The sequence below is a fragment of the Homo sapiens genome, chromosome 4 (assembly GCF_000001405.40).
Source record: "Homo sapiens chromosome 4, GRCh38.p14 Primary Assembly".
Taxonomy (NCBI): Eukaryota; Metazoa; Chordata; class Mammalia; order Primates; family Hominidae; genus Homo; species Homo sapiens.
In genome coordinates, this window is record NC_000004.12 from 42,557,272 (window position 1) to 42,580,658 (window position 23,387).

Consider the following 23,387-nt stretch of genomic DNA (forward strand, 5'->3'; position numbering starts at 1 on the left):
TAATTTTGAAGATGGAAGGAAAAAAATCTAAGAAAAAGATAGCATATATTTATCCTCCAAATATCACCATTAATTAAAAAGAGTTCATTACTTGGGGCTTTATGAAATTTTCCTATTAAAATATATTCATAAATGGTTTGTAGCTGTACTTTTCTACTTGTTAAACAAATGTCAAGGAATATTCACAGTAACATCTTGCAAGAAGTCTATTTTCTTTCCAAAGAATTCCAGACTAAAAGCCGTTTAAATCTGAAGATATGCCTTATTAATCTCACCAATAATTCTTTCATTTTATAAATCAGTTACTATAATTGACTTAATTTTCAAACATATTTATATTTGAGTAGCTCTGGATATGCAATTGAAATATTTACATGGACATACCCCATTTTCCATTCAGTAATGAAAGTTCTGTCAGGGATAATGCTAAAGAACTCTTCTTCTAGAAAGTGACTTCCTTCCCAAGATAATTTAAAAAACCCCAAAACAGGCTGGGCACCATGGCTTATGTCTGTAATCCCAGCACTTTGGGAGGCTGAGGTGAACAGATCACCTGAGGTCAGGAGTTCGAGACCAGCCTGGCCAACATGATGAAACCCCATCTCTACTAAAAATATAAAAATTAGTCAGGTGTGGTCCCAGCTACTCGGGAGGCTGAGGCATGAGAATCGCTTGAACCTGGGAGGTGGAGGTTGCGGTGAGCCGAAACTGCACCACTGGACTCCACTCCAGCCTGGGTAACAGAGCAAGACTACATCTCAAAAACAAAAACAAAAACAAAAACAAAAACAAAAAAACCAGAAACAAAAACTAGAAACAACTCATCCTCTAATCAGACAGCCTGGGTTGGATAACTCTGGCATGGAGCTTCCACCACTCCTCTCCAAAATTTTACAAAATATTTACTTTTAGTAAAAATAAACAGATAAAATTTGCAAGCTCATATCAGTTAAAAATAAGAACCATCACATTAAAAGTAAAAATAATAGGACTGTTAGTCAAACTTTCACAAATAAAAATGCAAGCCAACATCAACATTTGGTTACATCTTTGCCTAGTAATTTTTGAGTGTCACTTTGCTCCCAAGGAGACAATGACGTTATGGTATTTTGCAAGAAGCAATAAGGCAGGGAGTATCACAGTTAAGGTAAGGAGAACAGAGCAGGGAACCCACAATGTCATATAATTTGCAGCTTCTTTAGGCTGACTTAAAAGTTATGATACATTGTAACTACTCATTTTCTGATCAAACAAAAATGAAGAATCTCTATAGCAATAAAAATTAAAATATTCAAAGAATATATGGCTTAATCAGTATAGTTGTCCTTGCATATGACAGTATGTACTAAGACTTTTTTTTAAATTCAAAATTCATGTCAACAGGAGAGCCATCAGAGAAAAGGAAGAAAAGAGCTGAATCCATACTTTTCACCTTGTAAACCAAAATAAACTCCAGATGGATCAATGATTTTATAAATGTACTAAAGATATGTGAAACATTTTTTTAAAAAAAACTTAGGAATGGAAAAAGCTTAGGTATCATATATAATTCAGAAAACATAATATATAAATCTGACTACATAAATCTAAATATTTCTGCATAGCAAAAACTATGGCAACAGGCCGGGTGCAGTAGCTCACGCCTGTAATCCCAGCACTTTCGGGAGGCTGAGGCAGGAAGGCTGCTTGAGGCCAGGAGTTTGAAACCAGCCTGGGCAACACAGCAAGACCTGTCTCTGCAAAAAATTAAAAAATTAGCCAGGTCTGGTGGTATGCACCAGCTGGTGGTGTGTAATCCCAGCTACTTGGGAGGCAGAAGTGGGAGGATCCCTTGAGCTCTGGAGTTTGGGGCTGCAGCGAGCTATGATGGTACCACTGCACTCCTGCCTGGGTGACAGAGGGAGATCATCTCTTAAAACAAAACAAAACACAACCAACTTCTGCAAGAAAAGTCAAAAGCTAAATGACAAACTGGGAAAAAATATTTCCAACTTATAAAGGCTAATTTCCATGGAATAAAAAGAATTACCAGAAATCAATTTACAAAAAGATCAACAATGTAGTACAACAATGAGCAAAGGATATAAACACACAATTCACAAGGAAGGAAATATAAATGGCTTTATATATACATTCAACTTTACCTCATAATGAGAGAGGTGAAATTTAAATGTATCATTGTGGCAAAAATAAAACTTGACAACTTTGTGCTGTTGTAATTGTAGGAAAATAGTAAAGCATGTATCATTGGTGAGAACATAAACTATACAAATTCTAAAAGAAAAGCAATTGGGCAAAATTTAAAATTTAAAATACTTTGATTCAGTAATTCCAGTTCTAGGAATTTATATTGTTTAACTGGTATAAAATACTATATGTACAAATTTATACTTTGCAGTACTTGTTTTTTGTTTTGATTTTTGAGACAGGGTCTCACTCTGTCACCCAGGCTGGAGTGCAACGGCACAGTCTTGGCTCACTTGGAGTGCAGTGACACAATCTCAGCTCACTGCAACCTCCACCTCCTGGGTTCAAGCGATTCTCCTGCCTCAGCCTCCCAAGTAGCTGGTATTACAGGCATGTGTCATCACTCTTGGCTAATTTTTGTATTTTTAGTAGAGACAAGGTTTTGCCATGTTGGCCAGGCTGGTCTTGAACTCCTGACCTCAGGTGATTCATCCACCTCGGCCTCCCAAAGTGCTGGTATTACAGGCGTGAGCTACTGCACCCAACCCCTACAGTCCAGTTTTAATAGCAAAGAGTTAGGAAACACAAAGGCCCATCAGTAGTGCTGCTTAAAAATACTGTGGTGCATTTACAAACAAAGGGAAGCTTTTTATGGAATATGAAAAAATCTCAGAGATGCACTGTCAAATGAAAAGCTGGTGCAAAGCAGTGTGTACAGTATGCTTCACTTTCTGTAAAAATAAGAGAGAAAAAATAAATGTATGAATATTTATAGAAGAGATCGGTAAAGATACACTTGAAATTAGTCACACAGGCTGTCTTTGGCAGGGGAAATGGAGGGCTCTAAGACAGGGAGGGGATCAAAACCTTTTCTTTTACACTCCTTGAATTTGTAATATGTTAATGCATTGTGAACTTAAAAAAATCAAATTTAAAACAAGTACAAAACCCATCAGTCATCTGAAATAAACACCCTATCTATACACTAAATGCACATTATACACATATACATATTACACTCATGCACACACGAAAAAAGCAGGATAACTTTAAAATAACACCGTTTTGTTGTGTGGGTTTTTGTTTTGTTTTTACAAAATTCATCACTTTAATGAGTAAGGAACAGGGAGGGCAGCTCAGACATACCACTAGAATGGGAACTCATGGTTGTGTACACATTTGAACACTTAAGCAAGCAGAATGACAAATTACGAATTCTTTAACATTCCAAATGTCCTGAGTAGACAGAATTGTTTAACTACATAACATGCACATACAGGGAATTTCTTTATTTAGGAGCTGGTAGCCTGCACTTAGGTTGCACAGAGAAAAGTCTATGATTTTCAACACAGATCTAAATATTAGATTGGTGCAAAAGTAATTTGAGATTTTTGCCATTAAAAAACAATTGCAAAAACCACAATTACTTTTGCACCAACCTAATATTTTTCCCATTTAACAAGTTTTAAGTGGAAAATTCAGGTTCTGAGTTCTCATATGTAGCTTTAACTTGTTTTAAACATGTTTATTTATAACATGGATAGATAATGGAGCTATTAAGATCATTTTTCTCATATTGCGAGCCACTGAAACATATATATGTAAATTCAAGCGAATATAGCCATTTTATTGGCCTAACGTAATTGAGTATTGGTTTGGGAGTGAAGAGGCAGCTTGTTAGCACCAAGCCACACAAACGAGGACAAGTGCACTTGCTTTTTATCCAGCGTGTGCACGGCTGCTGCTCAGGTGGGCCGCGCACTGGGACAGGTGCGCACTGGGCCTCGGGCCGGCCTGAAGAGCACTTATGGTCTCCTCAATTCCATTTCAAAGTTCATCACAAGGTCCAGGGTCAATAACCTTTTCCAGAAAGAGTTGTAATGTGGGGCCACTCACACTGAGGTGGACATGCCAATGGCTCAAAGGTAGGCAGCCCTCCAGACATCCCTCTGGGAAAAGGCCTGAGGTCAGCTAGTGACTCTGGGACCCCTGGCTTACCCTCTGATGTCTGCTGTTCCCAAAGTAGTCCCACTCACAGTGATGGCCCACTCACAACCTCAACCACCCTGAAACTGATCTCTGTAGTTACAACTTTTCTTATTGTATTTTCAGAATTATCTGCCCACTCCAATGAGTGGCTTCATGAATTGGATGAGGTCTGTCTCTAAGACTTGTGAGACTTTTGTAGGGGGCTCGTAGTCCTTGGACACAGGGAGCCTCTGTAGGGAGCACCACCAGCTCATCTCAACAGAAGTCACTGGCTCTTTGACTTAGACCTGCAGGGAGCTGAGCTCTGTGGCTCTTCCTCCTCTTGGAAGGAGTGGATCTCAATAGGGACCTAAAAACTGCTCCTAGCTCCCGCTCTGCCTCCATTTCTCTCCCTGTTTGGTAAGACATTCATGAGGCTTTCCTGTGCCCTCCTGTGCAATTCCATGACGTATGGGCCAGGTGTTAGTTGCACTAACACTGTAACACCTGAAGGTATTATAATGATGATCTAATGGTGGGTATCGTGACAAAAGTCTGGCTCTTGGAGCCCTCATCTTTCTGCTTTTTATAATCTGGTTCTTTAAGTTAACGTAATTTTGATCCAATAGTAGAGGCTCAGGTTTCTTTTTTCTCTCAGATGTCAGAGGTGATGAAACACGCTGATGATATCTCCTATTTGTCTTGGAGTCTCTTCTATTTTGGAGGTCGGGTGAACACATGCCATTGACACATGCTCTGTGGAATGCTTCACAAAGGACTTGGTATAAAGAACTGATGGAACACCACCTGTTCGACAGTCATGCCATCGGCAGCAGGCAGAGATCCATGCTGGTGCCAAAGTTCCTTGCTGTGGCTGGTGTGAAGTGGAGGTGGTTGTCAGGGAGGAGGCACCATGCACTATAGCCTGTCTGCAGTGGGCACCCTGTGTGACCTTAGAGGCTCTCCTGGGGGACCCACTGCTGCTGCTGCTGCTGCTCCTGGGACCTCTGGCCTTGGGACCTGGCTAAGAAAGCATTGTTTTGGGGGAAAGTTCTGCACCTCCTGCTTTTCAATGGTACAACTGGCTGCAAAGTAAAGTCCAAAGTAGAGTCCAAAAATATGAGCAAGTGATTGAATTCAATAATAATATTTTTGTTAGATACTGGTTTTGACCAAAGTAATGAGGCCTGGTTTTCTATGTGATATTGTTTGGCTGTGTTCCCACCCAAATCTCATCTTGAATTCCCACATGTTGTAGGAGAGACCTGATGGAAGGCAATTGAACCATGGGGGCAGGTCTTTCCTGTGCTGTTCTCGTGACAGTGAATATATTTCACAAGATCTGATGGTTATTACAAGGGGGAGTTTTCCTGCACAAGCTCTCTTTGCCTGCTGGCATCCATGTAAGACATGACTTGCTCTTCCTTGCTTTCTGCCATGATCGTGAGGCTTACCCAGCCACGTGGAACTGTAAGTCCAATAAACCTCTTTCTTCTGTAAATTGCCCAGTCTCAGGTATGTCTTTATCAGCAGTGTGAAAACAGACTAATACATTAAATTGATACTAGTAGAGTGGGGCACCGCTGAAAAGATACCCGAAAATGTGGAAGCCACTTTGGAATTGGGTAATAGGCAGAGGTTGAAACAGTTTGGAGGGCTCAGAAGAAGACAAGAAAATGTGGGAAAGTTTGGAACTTCCTAGAGACTTGAAGGACTTTGACTAAAGCCTGATAGTGATGTGGACAATAAGGTCCAGGCTGAGGTAGTCTCAGATGCAGACAAGGAACTTGTTGGGAACTGGAGAAAAGGTGACTCTTGTTATGTTTAACAAAGAGACTGGCAGCATTTTGCCCCTGCCCTAGAGATTTGTGGAACTTCGAACTTGAGAGAGATGATTAGGGTATCTGGCGGAAGAAATTTCTAAGCAGCAAAGCATTCAATAGGTGACTTGGGTGCTGTTAAAGGCATTTAGTTTTATAAGAGAAGCAGAGCATAAACATTTGGAAAATTTGCAGCCTGACAATGTGATAGAAAAGAAAAACCTATTTTCTGAGGAGAATTTGAAGCTGACTGCAGAAATTTGCATAAGTAACGAGGAGCCGAATATTAATCCCCAAGATAATGGGAAAAATGTCTCCAGGGCATGTCAGAGGTCTTCATGGCAGCCCCTCCCATCACAGGTCCAGAGGCCTAGGAGAAAATGTTTTCATGGGCTAGGGCCAGGGTCCCCATGCTGTGTGCAGTCTAGGACTTGGTGCCCTGTGTCACGGCCACTCCAGCCATAACTAAAAGAGGCTAGTGCTTCAGAGGGTGGAAGCCCCAAGTCTTGGCAGCTTTCATGCAGTGTTGAGCCTGTGGGTACACAGAAATCAAGAATTGAGGTTTGGGCCAGGCGTGGTGGCTCATATCTGTAATCCTAGCATTTTGGGAAGCCATGGCAGGTGGATCACCTGAGGTCAGGAGTACAAGACCAGCCCAGCCAACTGGGGAAACCCTGTCTCTACTAAAAATACTTAAAATTAGCTGGGCATGGTGGCACATGCCTGTAATCCCAGCTACTTGGGAGGCTGAGGCAGGAGAATCACTTGAACCAAGGAGGAAAAGGTTGCAGTGAGCCAACATTGCACTACTGCACTCCAGCCTGGACAAGACAGCAGAATTCTGTCTGGGGTTGCGGGGCGGGGAAAATTGAGGTTTGGAAACCTCTGCCTAGACCTCAGAAGATGTATGAAAATGCCTGGATGTCCAGGCAAAAGTTTGCTATAGGGGTGGGTCCCTCATGGAGAACCTCTGCTAGCGCAGTGCAGAAGGAAAATGTGGGGTCAGAGCCCCCCCCAACAGAGTCCCTAGTGGAGCTGTGAGCAGAGGGCCACCATCCTCCAGACCCCAGAATGCTAGATCCCAGTGGATCTAGCATTGCACCATGCACCTGGAAAAGCCGCAGACACTCAATGACAGCCTGTGAAAGCAGCCAGGAGGGAGGCTGTACCCTGCAGAGCTACAGGGGTGGAGCTGCCCAAGGCAATGGGAACCCACCTCTTGCATCAGTGTGACCTGGATGTGAGACATGGAATCAAAGGGGATCATTTTGGACCTTTAAGATTTGACTGCCCTGCTGGATTCTGGACTTGCGTGGGGCCTGTAGCTCCTTTGTTTTGGCCAATGTCTCTCATTTGGAATGGCTGTATTTATCCCATGCCTATACTCCCATTGTATCTAGGAAGTAAGTAACTTGCTTTTGATTTTACAGGCTCATAGGCAGAAGGGACTTGCCTTGTCTCAGATGAGACTTTGGACTGTGGACTTCTCAGTTAATGCTGAAATGAGTTAAGACTTTGGGGAATTGTTAGGAAGGCATGATTGGTTTTGAAATGTGAGGACATAAGATTTGGGAGGGGCCGGGGTGGAATGATATGGTTTGGCTGTGTCCCCACCCAAATCTCACCTTGAATTCCCACGTGTTATAGGAGGGACCTGGTGGGAGGTAATTGAATCATGGGGACAGGTCTTTCCTGTGCTGTTCTCGTGACAGTGAATTAAGTCTCACGAGATCTTATGGTTATTATAAGGGGGAGTTTTCCTGCACAAGCTCTCTCTTTGCGTGCTGCCATCCACGTAAGACATGACTTGCTCCTCCTTGCCTTCTGCCATGATTGTGAGGCTTCCCCAGCCACATGGGACTGTAAGTTCAATTAAACCTCTTTCTTTTGTAAATTGTCCAGTCTTGGGTATGTCTTTATCAGTAGCTTGAAAACGGACTAATACACTATGTGACTCAACATCTTTCTAAAGGCAATTACAAAAGAGGAATTTCAAAAACATTCTGTGAAATGGCTGCCTTACTGGAATAAATAAACTATCTGCCAAGGTGACTGCTTTGAAGACTAACATTAATTTGGATGTGTCAGATCTCTTTGTTATACAGTCACACCTGGAAGAATGTTTTAGTGAGCCTAGCTTTTGCGGCAGAATAAATGAATACCACTCACTTCATACATAACTACAGACCAGAATGAAATGAGAAAATAAATAAGACCAGAGGATAGAAAATACAGTGTAGTACTATCCACTGATAGTGTGATAATACTAAAAACCCCAGTGAAATGACTAAGCACAGAACACTTTAAGGTGATCCTTCTGGGGAATCACCCTCACTAGCATTTACTTGAACGATTATCAACAAGAATAATGTGAAACTATATTAAACAGTTGAGAAAAAACAAATAATATGTTATTTTGGATTTGCTTCAAAATGATAGTGGGGGAAAGGCATAAATGAACTGGTCTTAAGTGCATATTATTGAAGCAGGTGGATCAGTACATCTGTCTGCTTTTGTTCATGCTTAAAATTTTCCACAACAGAAGACAGAAAATGATAAAAAATAATTATAGAAATATATAGTTTTAGAAAATGAGCATATCTTAGGGCTACATTGATGTTAAGAATAAATAGATTTTCCCCTTCAATCCAAAGTATTGATACTATCAATCTAGAGCAGTAGATTTTTAATAAAAAGGAATTAATCTGTGAGGTTATATGCTAGCTGATGGTTCTTGGCAATGATGAGAAAACCAGGTTAATCTGCAGTAGGTAGCTACTGGTTGGGAAATAGTTTTATCTCTATAAACTATTTATATTAATACACCTAAGCGAGTAGAGCTACAACCATCATCTGATTATCTTTAATGTTAACAGAATATGTGGAAAGACTTAATACATTATAGGTTTGCCTTCAAACTCAACTAAATGTAAATATGTAATCTACATATATCTAAGAGGTAATTATGTTTTTTTAATTTGGCATTTTTGTGAATACTGGTTCAAGTCGGGCAGTAAAATACACATAAGCTCATGGGTTTTATACATGGAATTCAATGAACTTTACATGAAACTGAAGCTGCTGAACAGCCATATTGGAATGCCCTTTCAGATTTTGGATTTATAGAGTCATCTATACTCTTTACTCCTGAAGATCAGCATGAAGATGCAGTCAGATGCCTGGAGCACAGGATTCAACTGGGATCACACTTTTGATCTTGGTTTCATTGGCAATGTGAAACCAAGTGGATGAGGTTGGGCAAATGCTCAAAGTTGTGCAAAGTTGTATGCCCTCATGCTAACTTTACACAAACTTGTTAAATTTTACCTGCTTAATCTGCTCTTGCCTAACACCACAAGAAATTTACTGAAAGAAATTCTAGGTTGAAAAATATTAAATGAAAAAGAGAAATATCAAGGTAAAATGACTGAAATTTCAAGGATATCTTGTGATCTAAAAAGCAGATATTCTTTAAAGTTACTTAGAGTCCATAGGATGTAATGTAACCAGTACTGTTTTATAACCAGGCTGATGTAGGTTTCAACTCTCACATCATCTACTCGTTTTTATAATTTGGGGCAAACTGCTTCTTTGCCTGAATTTCACCAACTTTAAAATGGCCATGTCAAATATGTCATGAGGATTAAGTGAGAGCACCAGAACTAACACTCAGTGTGGGCTGACTATGTGCAGACACTATCCAAAGCACTACACAAACAGAGCTCATCTAATCTTCAAAACCTCCTGATGATGCAACTACTATTATTATCTACATTCTTCCAGATGAGGACATTCAGGCAAAGAGTTGAGTAACTTGTTCAACAGTACCAGTAGAATGAAAATCTGAACTTGGTTGCTTAGTATCCAAAGCCCACATCTTTGATCACTCCACGTAACCTTGGACACAGTAGCAGCTCAGGAAACATTTGTTCTTTCATTTTTGCAGGCCTATAGGTAATTACTTATTTTATAGATGGAGAATCCAAGTATATATTTAAAATAAAGCTTGAGGCTGGGCATGGTGGCTGACACCTGTAATCCCAGCACTTTGGGAGGCTGAGGCGGGCGGATAACCTGAGGTCAGGAGTTTAAGACTAGCCTGGCCAACATAGTAAAACCCCATCTCTGCTAAAAATACAAACATTAGCCAGGTGTGGTGGTGCATGCCTGTAGTCCCAGCTACTCGGGAGGCTGAGGCAGGAGAATCACTTGAACCTGGGAGGTGGAGGTTGCAGTGAGCTGAGATTGTGCCACTGCATTCCAGCCTGGGTGATAGAGTGAGACTCCCTCTTAACAAACAACTCACTTTACTGTAACGGTAGTGAAAGCCTTCCCTATTGTTATTTTTAAAAATCATTACTATCTAAGCTTATATGTAACTATAAGTGGAAATGTACAAGCAATTTATGACAAAGCTGACAATTTCTTATTTGGAGTTACCTAGTTTAGAATATCAAGTTTTCCAAAAGGGTGTTTTACAAAAAGAACTTACTAAACTAGATAAAATAACATCCGCTCTTTCCAGCACCAATAAAAGTTATGAAACAACCTCTATTGAAAGTAGAATATTTTGAATGACGTGAGTAAACAAACATCAATTTTTAACATTTCCTTCCAACATTAAGAAAAATATGGAGAAGGCAATTTCTTCTTAGGAATAACTGAGTTATTTTAGAGGATATATATATCACTTCTATGCTAATGAACAATATTTAAAATTAATAGAATTATGTTAATGTTATAGAAAAGCAGATATAGTCGAAATTTTAACTACTTCTCAAAGGATTAAATAAGAGGGAATATATACAATATTAAACTTGAATTATCCACTAATAGTAAGATGCTTTGGTACATTTAAAAATATTAAAAATTACTTGTGTGTAAGTGTCAAAATGTACGACACTCCAAGCAATGGGCATGTGGTGTCTCATCAGTTGTCACAAGAACCAAACAGCTGCCTGTCATTAACCCTAGGTGTTGTGAGATTTACTGAAAATTTTTACCAAATCTTCACTTCACTGAAATAAATTCCCTGTTGAAAAATATTTAAATGATGTTATTCGACTTCAAAGTATATTGAAAATGTGGCTTCGTCACCAAATACATGAGTAATATGAAAATAAAAATGGAATGACCTATAAATTCTCAATGTTTTCTAAAGTTACCAACATTAAAGGAACATATTTCCTGAAATTTCATTTGCCCACCAACTCATGATGAATTATAGAAATATCAAAATAAATCTGCACTATCCAAGATGAAAATATAAATTCACAAAGGGGAGGAATTTTAAGGTAAAACCAACAAAAAACTCATAAAATAGTGAAATTAAACCCATAAAACGCTAACTTTAATGATGCCAAAATTAAATATACTAAAGTTAACTCTAGTGCTTGGTAGCATAGTTTTCTAACATTTGGTGCAGATTTTAAAAACGTTCACTTCATAGCCTGCACACAGACTTATTAGAATAATCGTAAGAAACACAGAAGAAAATTTCCACTGCTTGGGTATGTTTCAGTAGCCTCTTTTGGTAGCTCTGTAAAGTACATAAGTAGCGGCAGAAGGTGGCAGTACTGAGCTAGAAAAACCTGACGGCTTCAGGAGCTGTAGCTGAAACCTGAGGTAGTCCAAAGCCCACACTCTGGAATTGATCATTAGACTTTATTACAGATAAACAATGTAAAACTCTGGCAAACCTAATCTATAAACTACATGTTTCTCCATCAAAAATCAGGAATATTCAATAGATTTCAAGAAATATCTACTTTACAGCATTGTTACCCTAACTGCTCAGCAATATTTTATTTATATATATATATTTATATAAAAGAGAGTGAAATGTGTCTTACAAAACAATAAAATGCAAACCTTTTATAGGGATCAATGAGGCAGAAAGTTCCATAGAGCTTACCATTCATCAGGAGAGCAGCCATAATCCTCAGGTTCAGGGACATGGCTTCAGAAAGCAAGAAGAGAGGCAGAAAGAGAGGAAAAATAATCACAGAAAGGCTGGAAACATAAAACCACGAAGAAGGGAAGTATAAAAAGATGGATCACTGAAAAGTTAACAAAATGAACTTTTAGTTGAATCTGAAAGAATGGCAGTTAGTACAGCAAATAGAACATAATGATTCATGGTAGCTCAGCAGGTTTACAAAGTTATCCTGTAACTGTATAGCCAATTTGCCTCTTCACCAGAACATTTACTGATTTTATTCACAAAGTTCATAATTCAGTAGGAATTATTTCAACTTAGCAGTTGAAATGCTAAAGCCAATGGAAAATTAATCATATGTGTTATATAATCAGAATAAAGTGTTTCAAGGTAACAAACATGCTAATATCTTGAAACAAATTATCACACTAATAAAATTTGTCAAATACATTTTAGAAGTAACTTTGGCTACCACGAGATGATGGTTACTTCAACAGGTACATTAAAGTAAAAGTTACCTGCATTTCTATAATTAAATGGAACCTTAGTTTAAGAATTTAAATGATATTAAAAAATTTTCACTTAAACTATTTCACTCATTAAAACACTCTTTATTTCAAACAGGAAACATATTCATTAATATCTTCTTTAATTTCATCCATTCGCTCATCTGAACACTAGGAAAGTCTGATAGATGTACTTCATTTCAGCCAGTCATGTATTCAATTGGAAGGGGCCCATAATACATGACAGACCAGATTTTTTTATTTTCCATTTCTTTCATAATATAATCATATACTTTTCCTGTAAATTTATTAGACATGGAGTTTTAAAATGCAGAGTTCAGTACAAATGAAAAGTCACTGTTATTTTTGACGAATATACAATAAACTTTGTTAAAAACTCATGGGATCCTTTCACTTCCTAAAAGTTCAATCTTTCATCAACCCAGCCAAGGCAGGGACTTCATCATTCCAAGGCACCTCTTCCACTACCAAAACATTAATTTGCTTCCAGTGCAGTATCCACTATATCACTCCAATCACAATGGAGGTGGTCCCTTTTAACTCACTATTCTCTCTCCTACCAAAGGGCTTTTGTGCCTGCTTAAGAAGAAGGGCTAATCAAGCCCTTTGTGGGCTGGACTCCAAGAAAAGGAGTTGGCATGCTGCAAAGCTCTGTGGAAACTGGCTGCAACTCCATGTTTAAAGCAATCACTTCAGATCAGCCTCAAGGCTTGGACCCTAGCCCATGGACTGTGCCAGGGAAGGGCCTGGTACTAACCAAGCAACACTGTGCATGGTCCTGCCAAGCTGCACTAGCCCCAATCTCATACCAGGACAGGGGATAAAGTTTCCCAAGTCATGCAGCTTAAAAGCTCCAGAGCTCAAGTGCCAGAGACCCTCTTCACAACTCTGGCGCAGCCCTGGAAGAATGCTGAGCACTACCTAGAGCCCGATGAGCAGTAGGTGGCCTGCAAACCTGCCACTGATCCTATATGCAAGTTTCCCTGTTATTGCTGCTCCAGAAGCTCTGGTGTCTACGTGGTATCTGGCTTTTTGCCTTTGTATGTGCCAGTGCTATAACATCTACCTGGTAAGTTCTTCACTTAATCAAATTCATTCTTAGATCTCAACTCCAGAATCACTTTCTTAGGGCATATTTCCTTGCCTTCCCTGTTTAGATCAAACCACCCATTATAGCCTCACATAGACCTCTATACTGTGTTAGGACTTTATATTTGTCTGTATGATTACTTAATTAGCATCCACTAAGTGCCAATTAGACTATACACTTTAGGCAGGAGGAAATCATGTGAACTTTTGCCTTTTTTACCTGCATTATCTATCAAAGTGTCACATACATCAACACTTGAGATATACAGATAAATAAATGAATGGAGTTGACTAGAATTTATCACAAGTCATGGTGAGCAGTAAGATAAACATGGCTGTAGCAAGATCTTGGGGGATAGTATTATGATAATCGTGAAATTTCTCGTGGTGAGTCTCTTCTTGGGGTTAAAGAAGTAGCCGATCCTTCCAGCAAATATATAGCTAAACCAAATACTGTCAAGTAAAGTTATTCACACAGTATATTCATATATAAAGATTGCTTTTAAAAACTTATTTTTCATTTAAAGGGAAAATGCAAATGATGTTTTTAATACGAATTAAATGCCTTGTCCACACAAAAAAGCATTTTGTTTGCTTAACAGAATTTCTTTTTATAGACTGTATCTTGTTAAGCCTCATCCAACTTATTCTAAAAGGTCTAAATTTTTTTTTTTTTTTTTTACAAAGATGGCACTTAGGACTGTATCCCAGAATCTTCACTCTATTGAGATTTGTGGCCCCTGAACAGAGAAACTGCTTACCTATTCCGGGTATTCAAGTAACTATTATAAAACTGACTTATTCCCTACAAGAAGCAATTAGCTGAAATGATACTTTAATAACTAATGTTTACAGTAAAATGTCTGGTTTGTCATAAGTTAAATTTACAAATGATATCACAATTCACTTACATTTTACTGTAATTGTCCCATAAAAAGATCTAATGAAATAATCTAATAATTTTGCAGTGCATTCCTAACTAAAAGTTGATTTCTACAAGATAATCATCATTGGCAACTATGTACAAATCTATTTTATTGCCCATCATGAATCCAATTTGGGGCGAAGGTTCAGGGAAATCAAAGAAAATTTATTAAAATTAAATTCTGATGCACGGTTTTAAGTGTTAATTATAATTTTCTTACAAACATGGAATACCCAGAACTAGCTAGGAATTATACTATCAGGAAACTTCAAGCCTTATTCTTCTGATAAGACACAACAGAACTCACTTGAACCCTATCTGGGGTGAAACTGAGCTGTACCTGATGTTTTGGCAACACTGAGGCAAAATCAGCTCTGCACTTGTAACACCAAAGGCTTTTGTCAGGATATGAAATTTTGTGTTACTCTCTGGTTTTGCCACCTCCCTAGGGGCATAAACACCTTGCTTTCTTCCACTGGGGTTAAAAGTGCTCATACATAATAGTTCCCATATTAAGCAATTGTTAAATGCTGCTCTGGGGAAAATAAGATAGCAAAGCCAGGTCATTTCCCCCATCTGGATTCCCATAATCCAAGAGTGCCCAGAGGAAATCTACACAGAAAAGTGCTAGACAGTAATTACTCTCTCTCACCCCTTCACATCTAACCATGGAGACTGGCTGTAATTAAGTAACAGTGTTATTTTCCCTGCTGTAAACATGTGGTCAAGTCAGAAGTCACGGTTTCTCCAAAACTTTCAGACATCAACAACTCTCTACGATGCTAACAGTCCAATAATCCACCAGGATGTGTTTGGGAGGGAACACTGATAAAAACTCAAGGTTAAGGATGCCTAAAAGCACATACACAAACATGATCACTGGAAGCAGTTTAACTAGCTTTACTCTACATGGCTTCTGGTATCCTTGAAAATATGATACCATAACTAAAAAGGAAACAGATTTCGGCTTATACAGTTAAAATTTGCAAACAAATAAACTTCTGTTTATTTCTAAACATTATGTTAGATTTCGTATCTGGAAAAGGACTTTAGAAATGGTTTGGTCTCACTATCCACATCTTAAAGAGTAGGGAATATCTGAAAATAGATTTTCTAGGATTACATGGTAAATTCTAGACAAAGCCAGAACTCATGGCTTCTGACTGTATCTCAGGATTAAGAAATATTATTTCCTCAGGAAGAAATTCACTTCACTGGCAATTTAATCTCAATGATGACAATACTGAGCTCAGACCCACCCTATAACAGTTGTTAATGATGACATTGTCAACAGACACAGATGGGCACTGCTCTTTAGAACTACTGCCTAGGAGTGTTTAAGGACCTCTTCCAAGAATAAGAAAAAACCTGATAAAATGCGGAAGAAAACAGAGGCTAGATCTGATTTTAGCTTTCTGTTCTGAAAATTTCACAATCAATAATTACTAATTTGATGAACCTGCTTATTGAATTATAAAATCACACAAAGTAAAAAACAATGCCAATTATTAAACAGGCCATTGTGGAAATACTAGTTATGAATGAATACAGAATTTGTGTAAAAAAATCATCATAAATCTGAGAACTCTAGAATTGCAATAGGCTTTACTTTTCTCCTCTGGGATGATTGTGGGTAGAATATATAAGTACAAGATGTCAAAAAGTGTGGCTGCAACTCTCCTGCTCCAGTAGCAATTTGTTGGGAGGAGGGTGGAGGAGGCAGGTGAGCCTCTTACATCTAAGGAAATTAGAACATCTTCAGATAAAGAAGAAAGATGAAAAACAGCATCCAGCCCGGGAAGCAGTAAGTATGCTTCTTAAATCAACAGGCTGTCTTTACAGTGTGAAAAAGCCACTCAACTGCCTTTTTAACCTCGTTTATACATATAGTTTATAGTCATTTTTAGTCATGCTCTCGTAACGCAAAGAACAAGGATATCTAGGAATAACCATATACTTTTGGGATTTTTCATGAAATGTTTACTTATTTATAATTTTAACTAAGGCATTTCAAAATGTAACACTCTTTGTCACTGGCTTACTGCTCAGAGTGAGTGGGGAAGAGTGGGTGCAAGCCAGAAAACCTAGAAGCAAGTGTCCATGCTTGTATGAGTAGGAGGCTGATATTTACTAGTCTCACTTCTAGGTAGATAAGGATAATTGGCAAGTTTGACAATAGGCCAATGTCAACCAGCCAGGAGAGTGTTTCACCTTTTGATGTCTTTTCTAGGAAATGTAGAAATTAATTTTCTCACATTACCCTATAAAATATTTTAAAGAGAAGGCTATGGAACAGCTTGTAAGCATACCTGGAAGTAAGAAATAAATTAAATGGGTGCTCAACAAGCAATTCTAAAGAAATTAACAGCCTGATAAAAGTTTCTGATGATATTAATTATCCTCCAGATTCAAGAGTTTCATGTCTCTACCTCCTTTCCATCATCAGAATTTTAGATTGCTCTATGACTGCAAAAAGGAGAGATGATAGAAGAAAAAAAAAGTATCAAAAGGGGTAACTGTCACTATTTTAACTTGAAAACTGCTCAAGGCCTGATTATCTGTCCTTACCAGATCCAAGCTATACTCCAGTTTATAGTAGTGTAAAAGGAAATATATTTGTTCCTTATTACCAGGGCAAGAGAGAGACTTTCAGCAACACTAAACACTGAAAATACCATTGGGCAGAGCACCCACCTCATGTCATCCCAAATGAAAACAATGCTAAACTAGAAACGCGAAATATACATGTGTCCTAAAATTATAACAGCTGCTTTTCAGACTAAAAAAAACCAAACAACCCCATACCCTCCCCTAATAAGAACTCCCAAATGTACCAAACTGTTAGCACTAATTAAGCATGTATTTCATATCCTAATTAAAGGAAAAAACTCACCCATAAGCAACTCCCGCTATGGTGCACTTCTTAAACTGCATTACATTGCATGTCAGAGTACCAGTTTTGTCAGAAAATATGTATTTAACCTAAAAAAGTTTAAAATTTCTCATTAATATTTTGAAAGTCTTTATGCCACTCTTTTACAGAGAAACCCCTCATGCTTTTTATTAACATTGCAGGGGCACAATGAATATTACTAAGGAACTATTTTCTGCCCATTTATCAAGGAATATATTCAGCTTTTTAAAAAGTATTTTACAAATGAATCTTTTCACATATGAATATTAAAGACTATCACCATACTAGAAAACTATATAGACATATGCCTTAGTATGGTCTGAATTTCCACTAGAAAGTGCCACTACCACTACTTAACATTTACAGAGCACTGAAACAGCTATCAGCATTTCTCAATGCAACAGGCAATTGTAGAATTTGTAACAGCTTGCGCAATTAACTTCATGCAACATCTGAACTGGTAAGAAATAAGAATAATTCTGGACTAGATGCTATTTGTAAAGCATAAGTTGGAATATGGCAACAATACAAAAAAGAAAAACCTAGAATATGTTAATGGATTACAAATATACACATATGTGAATATAGTATGAATTATAAATCTAACATTCCTATTGACTAGACTCACATAGCTTCGTTGATGAACTTTTCCTCCCTTCCTGGCTGAAAGGTATGAACAATTCTAAAACTACGTTTATAACTTGAAAATAGCCAATATGTTGCATACTAGCTTGACTATATACCAAGGGACATCTCGAAGCTCTTGGAGTGCTTTACCTTGAGAGCAAAATCTCCTTGAGACAGTGTTTTTAAAAACTGATTTATTAAAAATGAGAATTGTTCATCATGCACTAACAAATATATTATTCAAATAGTGGAAAATTAAAAGCTGTCCATTCATCTGCAGTTATCATATATGGCAGATACCACACCAAATCTAACTTTTTAATTCCACACATAATCAACAATAAATTGAGTTTACCTGGCCAAGTTCCTCATTCAGATTAGATGTTCGAGCCATAGCAGCAGTGTCTGTGGGTTCATAGTGCATGTCAAGATCCTTTAATAAAATTAAGTAAATCATTGAACACAACTGGTAATAAGGAATTGGGTGAAACTTTAAAAGAAAACAATTAGTATATTCGTACTTCAATAAGTCACTGTTTGATGAACTATATGTAGGCACTAATTTCCTGTTATTCCTATACCATTTAATTCGATTTTTCTGAAAAGTATTCAATACAGACTACTATATTCCACAGTAAGGGCAGAACAGTATGGTAGTTAGAGCCTGTCTATGAATCATGCAATCTAGGTTTACTATCATTCCACCATTTTCTATATAAATGACCTATTATAAGGATTAAAAGATACCACACAAAGTGCTTCCTACTGTGTCCGACACAAGGCAGGTATTTAGTAATGTGAGCTAGAACTCAGCAACTAAGAACTGCTCAAATAATTAGGTCTTCAAACCCCTGGAAAAAGTACCCAAGAGATTCTATCTGGTTTTACTTTCTGGGCCAAGAAAGAAAAACAAAATGCACTTCTCAAAAGATAAAAATGTCACGCCTATAATCCCAGCACTTTGGGAGGCCAAGATGGGCGGATCACGAGGTCAGGAAATCGAGACCATCCTGGCTAACACGGTGAAACCCCGTCTCTACTAAAAAAAAATACAAAAAAATCAGCCGGGAGTGGTGGCAGGCACCTGCAGTCCCAGCTACGGTGGAGGCTGAGGCAGGAGAATGGCGTGAACCCGGGTGGCAAAGCTCGCAGTGAGCCTAGATCGCGCCACTGCACTCCAGCCTGGGCGACAGAGCAAGACGCCGTCTCAAAAAAAAAAAAAAAAAAAAAAAAAAAAAAAGAGCATAGTTTTTTACTTATTTGTACTTGCCTTGTGTCCAGTAATCATGAGACTTGACTATATTATCCTATGAAATTAACATTTTCTATATTAGACTATTTTATTAACAAATCAGGGTTGTAGTTCACAAATTTTCATGTCAAATGAAAAGGTCAAAATTCAAAGCCCATCTCTCCCATGTCTGTATTCTGAACTGATCAACATCACTTCTGAAATAGGTTATTGAGTTTTATGTGCCATGTGTTAAGAGAGAGATTAACCAACTGGGCCTTTGTTCAGAAGAGAAAGTGATCAGAATAGAGATTAATCTGGAAATCACATGAACTGAAGGACAACAGAAGGCGGGGAATGTTTAATTAGAAAGGAAAAGATAGGATAGAATTGGCATGATAGCTGAGTTCAGATATTTTGCAAGACTATCATTCAGAAACAAGATTAAGCATTTTCTTAATAGATCCATTGGGAAGAACCAGAATCAAAGGAAGACAGTTATAATCTCATTTTCACACAAGAAAGTTGCTTTGTAAAAGAAGGCTGGAAAGTCAGTGTTCTATCTGTCAGATGTTATAAAATCTCTGTATATTAGAAAGGTGGTTGAAAGCATAAGCCTGCTGGGTTCATCCAATACTAAAATTATATAATTCTTTGAAAGATATTATTTTTGAAAATCAAAACAACAAAGTGATTATCTAGCTTACTTATGTGATTCTCACAATGAGTTACCCTATTATTGCTATAAGAAACTTCAATAAGTCTTACTTATATTTGTACATATCCTATTACGTAATTTTTCAGCCATATATCTCCTGCATGAAGTGAGCTACACCTGCAGCTCATTTTAGATTTCTAAATCACACTGATTTCTTACCAATGAATTAAGAGATTGACAGTTTAGGTAGATAATTCGCTACAAGAAGATAATGAGCAGTTACAAAAGTATGTCATATTTTTCGAAACCCTAATATTGTTCATATTGAAAGACTTTACAATGATTGAAAAAGAAAGAAACATCAAAAATAACACAAAGTTTCTCAAAATAAAAGAAAAATTAAATTTTCTGGCAGATTAGGCCCACAGATTTAATTTAGATAAATTCATTAATTTTAACTTTAATAAAAATAAAACTAAGACATTTAAAAACATTTAGAAAGTAGATGTCCAACATTTTTCTAATATTTAACAATATTCAAGAGAAAAATTATGAAGAAAAATTCAAGTGAAGCTAAAATTGTTTACAGTGTAGAAAATAACATGATATAACATGATAATCTGGTTGATATCAGTAAGAATTACAGTATTATTTGTATAGTGATTGATTATTTTCAAAGCTCTTTGCTATGTCAAGAGATTCCTTAGTCCATAAAACCACTGTAAGATGTAGGTAAGGCATATTATCCCTATGATTGTGTTCAAGAAAATAAGTTTCAAAATAAGTGACTTGAGAAAGTTGATACACCTAGTAAATTATAATACTAGAACCATAATTCAGACACTTAACTCCAAACTCATGGTTCTCCATCTCCCACGACCACCATAGGTTTCCTGAACTAGAGACCCATTTTCCCTACAATGTCTGGCCTGTAAACTTGTGTGATTCTGAGATGAGGAACTTTGCAACAAATTAGGTTCAAAAATCTGATACTGTGGTCAAGAAACGGTAGATATAATTAAAACCTTTTTTCTCCTGAGATATCAAAATATCCTAAGGACAAAATTATTTTGTAGGGTGATAACAATCATAATTCATATTTACCCAATTTATGAAGTATGCCTGGGTAAATTTCACAACTTCTAATGTAACCAATAAGCTGATAGGAATGAGATTGTTGAAAAGGATGATGAAGGTCAAGAAATTCAGTCCAAAATTACTAGCGCCACCATCTGTTGGGAGAGGCAGGAAGAACGTCATTTACAGTTTTATATTTTATTTGCATTGACCCCAAATTAGCATAATACAAGTTTTCCATACTACGCAGCTTATTTGATAATTTGGGAGGAACACTTTGCTGATAATCTATCCTAATTCTCAAGTACATCCTTCAAGATAGAATTGCATTGTGTTCAATATGTTGTTAATCCAGGTAAGAGCTGTATAAAAGTACTAAGACAGTGAAAGGACTGTCAAATATTGCAAACCCTCTTCCAAACACAAAGTTTAGAGACATCAGGGATAGCACTGAGGGTTTATAAATATAAAATCTCAATTGGGTAGAATCACTTTTATATAAATTCTTAAGAGTATTTCCAATTTAAAGCATACTTTAAAAGCAAACAAGACAGCAGCAGCAAAAACAATCCAAACTATATGAGTAATATTCAGTCCTAGGTAAATTATTCTCCTAGGTACATTATACTCTTCTTCCTCAAAATGAAAATAAAACTGCTATACCAGATACAATTATAAAGTATACAAAGAAACAGACTGATGGTAGTAACAGTTCTGATACTGAAATAATAAATCAGTAACTATAAAAACAACTTGGAATTGCTGCAAAGATAAATCAATATAATAAAAAAAATTTAAAAATACCAGTTTTTGCTATGTGATTGTACTAGAATTTGCTTTCACACTTTTGGAAGTTAAGTCTTTATTGGCTAAGTACTCATGAAATGAAAATGTAAACTCATTTGACAGAAATATCCAGGGGTGGTACATTAATATCACAATAATAAAAGGATAAATGCTCTAAAGGAAAACTATTTACTAGCACCTTCTCTAAGATAACATTTAATATAGGACTTACCACATTACTGAGTTCAAATGAAAATACATTGGGTTTAAACATTTTTAAACCATATAAACCACTTTTTGGTACTTTTATTTAAATAAAATATAAACAAAGTATATTTTATTTAAGATAAAATATATTTAAATATTTATATTATTTAAATATATTTAAAATATTTTATATATTTATAAATACATACAATATATATTTAAATATATATGTTTTGTTATATCCACACATGGTCAATCTACTTTCTTTACCATATAGTTAACCACCTATGTTAAAAATATTTTTAAGGAATAGTTTTCGTTGATATATATAATAAATGACTATACTTAGTGAACATTTTATACCACTATAGAGTGCTCATTATGTTTTTAAGGATTCTGAAATTTTAGGATTCCCAAATTTTACTTACACTTGCTAGAAATCTCACTGAAAAATAAAGATCAAATGTCCAGCTATCTTGGCAACAAGGTCTTTTTAGAAACAATACGAAATAAAGTAAATCAAGATCAATTGTGAAACAAATACATGTCTTAATCTAAAAAAGTGCAGTAAGCACTTTATTGCTTACAGTTTAGATTGAGATACCAGTCTTTTCCAGAATGCCTTCGATTCCAAATGGCTGAGCCCACAGAACAGACAAGAGACATGGCAATTAAGATACAAAATAAAATCAAAATTTGTACATTTGTAATCCGTTCCACATTTGAGAGCTTAAGTGGTGGACTTGTTGAATTCTGTAAAAAGAAACAAGATGAGTAATAAAAAATGTACACCAATGATTTAGCAATCTATACTTAGTATTCTGTTGAGGATGACAAAGTCACAACTCAGTATCTAGATGTGGGTGGATACGTGAAAATTATGTGAAACCCATGACAAATGTAATAAGGTGCCAATGGTTAACCACCTTTTTTTCAAGGCCACTACACCACCCAGGCCTTTTTCTAGGAAGTAAACTATAAGAAAGAAGAGAACGAAATTACATTCCCTTTGCAAAAATAGCTTTTGCATTGTGGCAGGTAAGATGAATAATGCATTACTTGGCTATGTAAGCAAACAGGGTAGTCTAGAAACATTTAGTGTTTCCGTTCAGGAAGACAGGCAGACAAGGCAGCCCATGCTCCCGCAAACAGGCACCTGGAAATTTGAACATAGGAAGGCAACATTTAAAGGATCTCCGGCTTTCAAATTTCTGGTGGCATTTAGCAATTGTTTTACTGAACGCAGCAACAATTTAAGTAGTCCTGGCTATAAAGAATAACAGAGGCAAGTTGCCTCAGTTGTATTTGATGATTCAAATGGTTATGTAGACCTGTGCTAACCAAAAAATCCATAGAACAGAAAATTAAATGTCAGAATGAATATGAAATGAAGATTTATAGAATTTATAAAATGGCTAGTGGTGGAATCACTA

The 23,387-nt window shown here is 36.9% G+C and overlaps 1 protein-coding gene and 1 pseudogene across 12 annotated transcripts in view; both read right to left on the reverse strand.

The window, feature by feature from the left end:
• The window catches only part of ATP8A1 (ATPase phospholipid transporting 8A1), a 248,733-nt gene that overhangs the window by 148,899 nt on the left and 76,447 nt on the right, over window positions 1–23,387 (reverse strand). For 7 of the 12 annotated variants that reach the window (NM_006095.2, XM_011513616.3, NM_001400024.1 and 4 more), the window contains 5 exons: window positions 22,542–22,707; window positions 20,989–21,116; window positions 18,351–18,428; window positions 17,348–17,436; window positions 11,890–11,934 (listed from right to left, as the gene is read on the reverse strand). In NM_006095.2, the coding sequence (NP_006086.1) occupies window positions 11,890–11,934; window positions 17,348–17,436; window positions 18,351–18,428; window positions 20,989–21,116; window positions 22,542–22,707 (506 nt within the window). The remainder of the gene's footprint in view (window positions 1–11,889; window positions 11,935–17,347; window positions 17,437–18,350; window positions 18,429–20,988; window positions 21,117–22,541; window positions 22,708–23,387) is intronic. The other 5 variants (NM_001400027.1, NM_001400026.1, XM_047449508.1 and 2 more) reach the window with 1 other exon arrangement.
• CCNL2P1 (cyclin L2 pseudogene 1) lies at window positions 4,609–5,151 on the reverse strand (annotated as a pseudogene).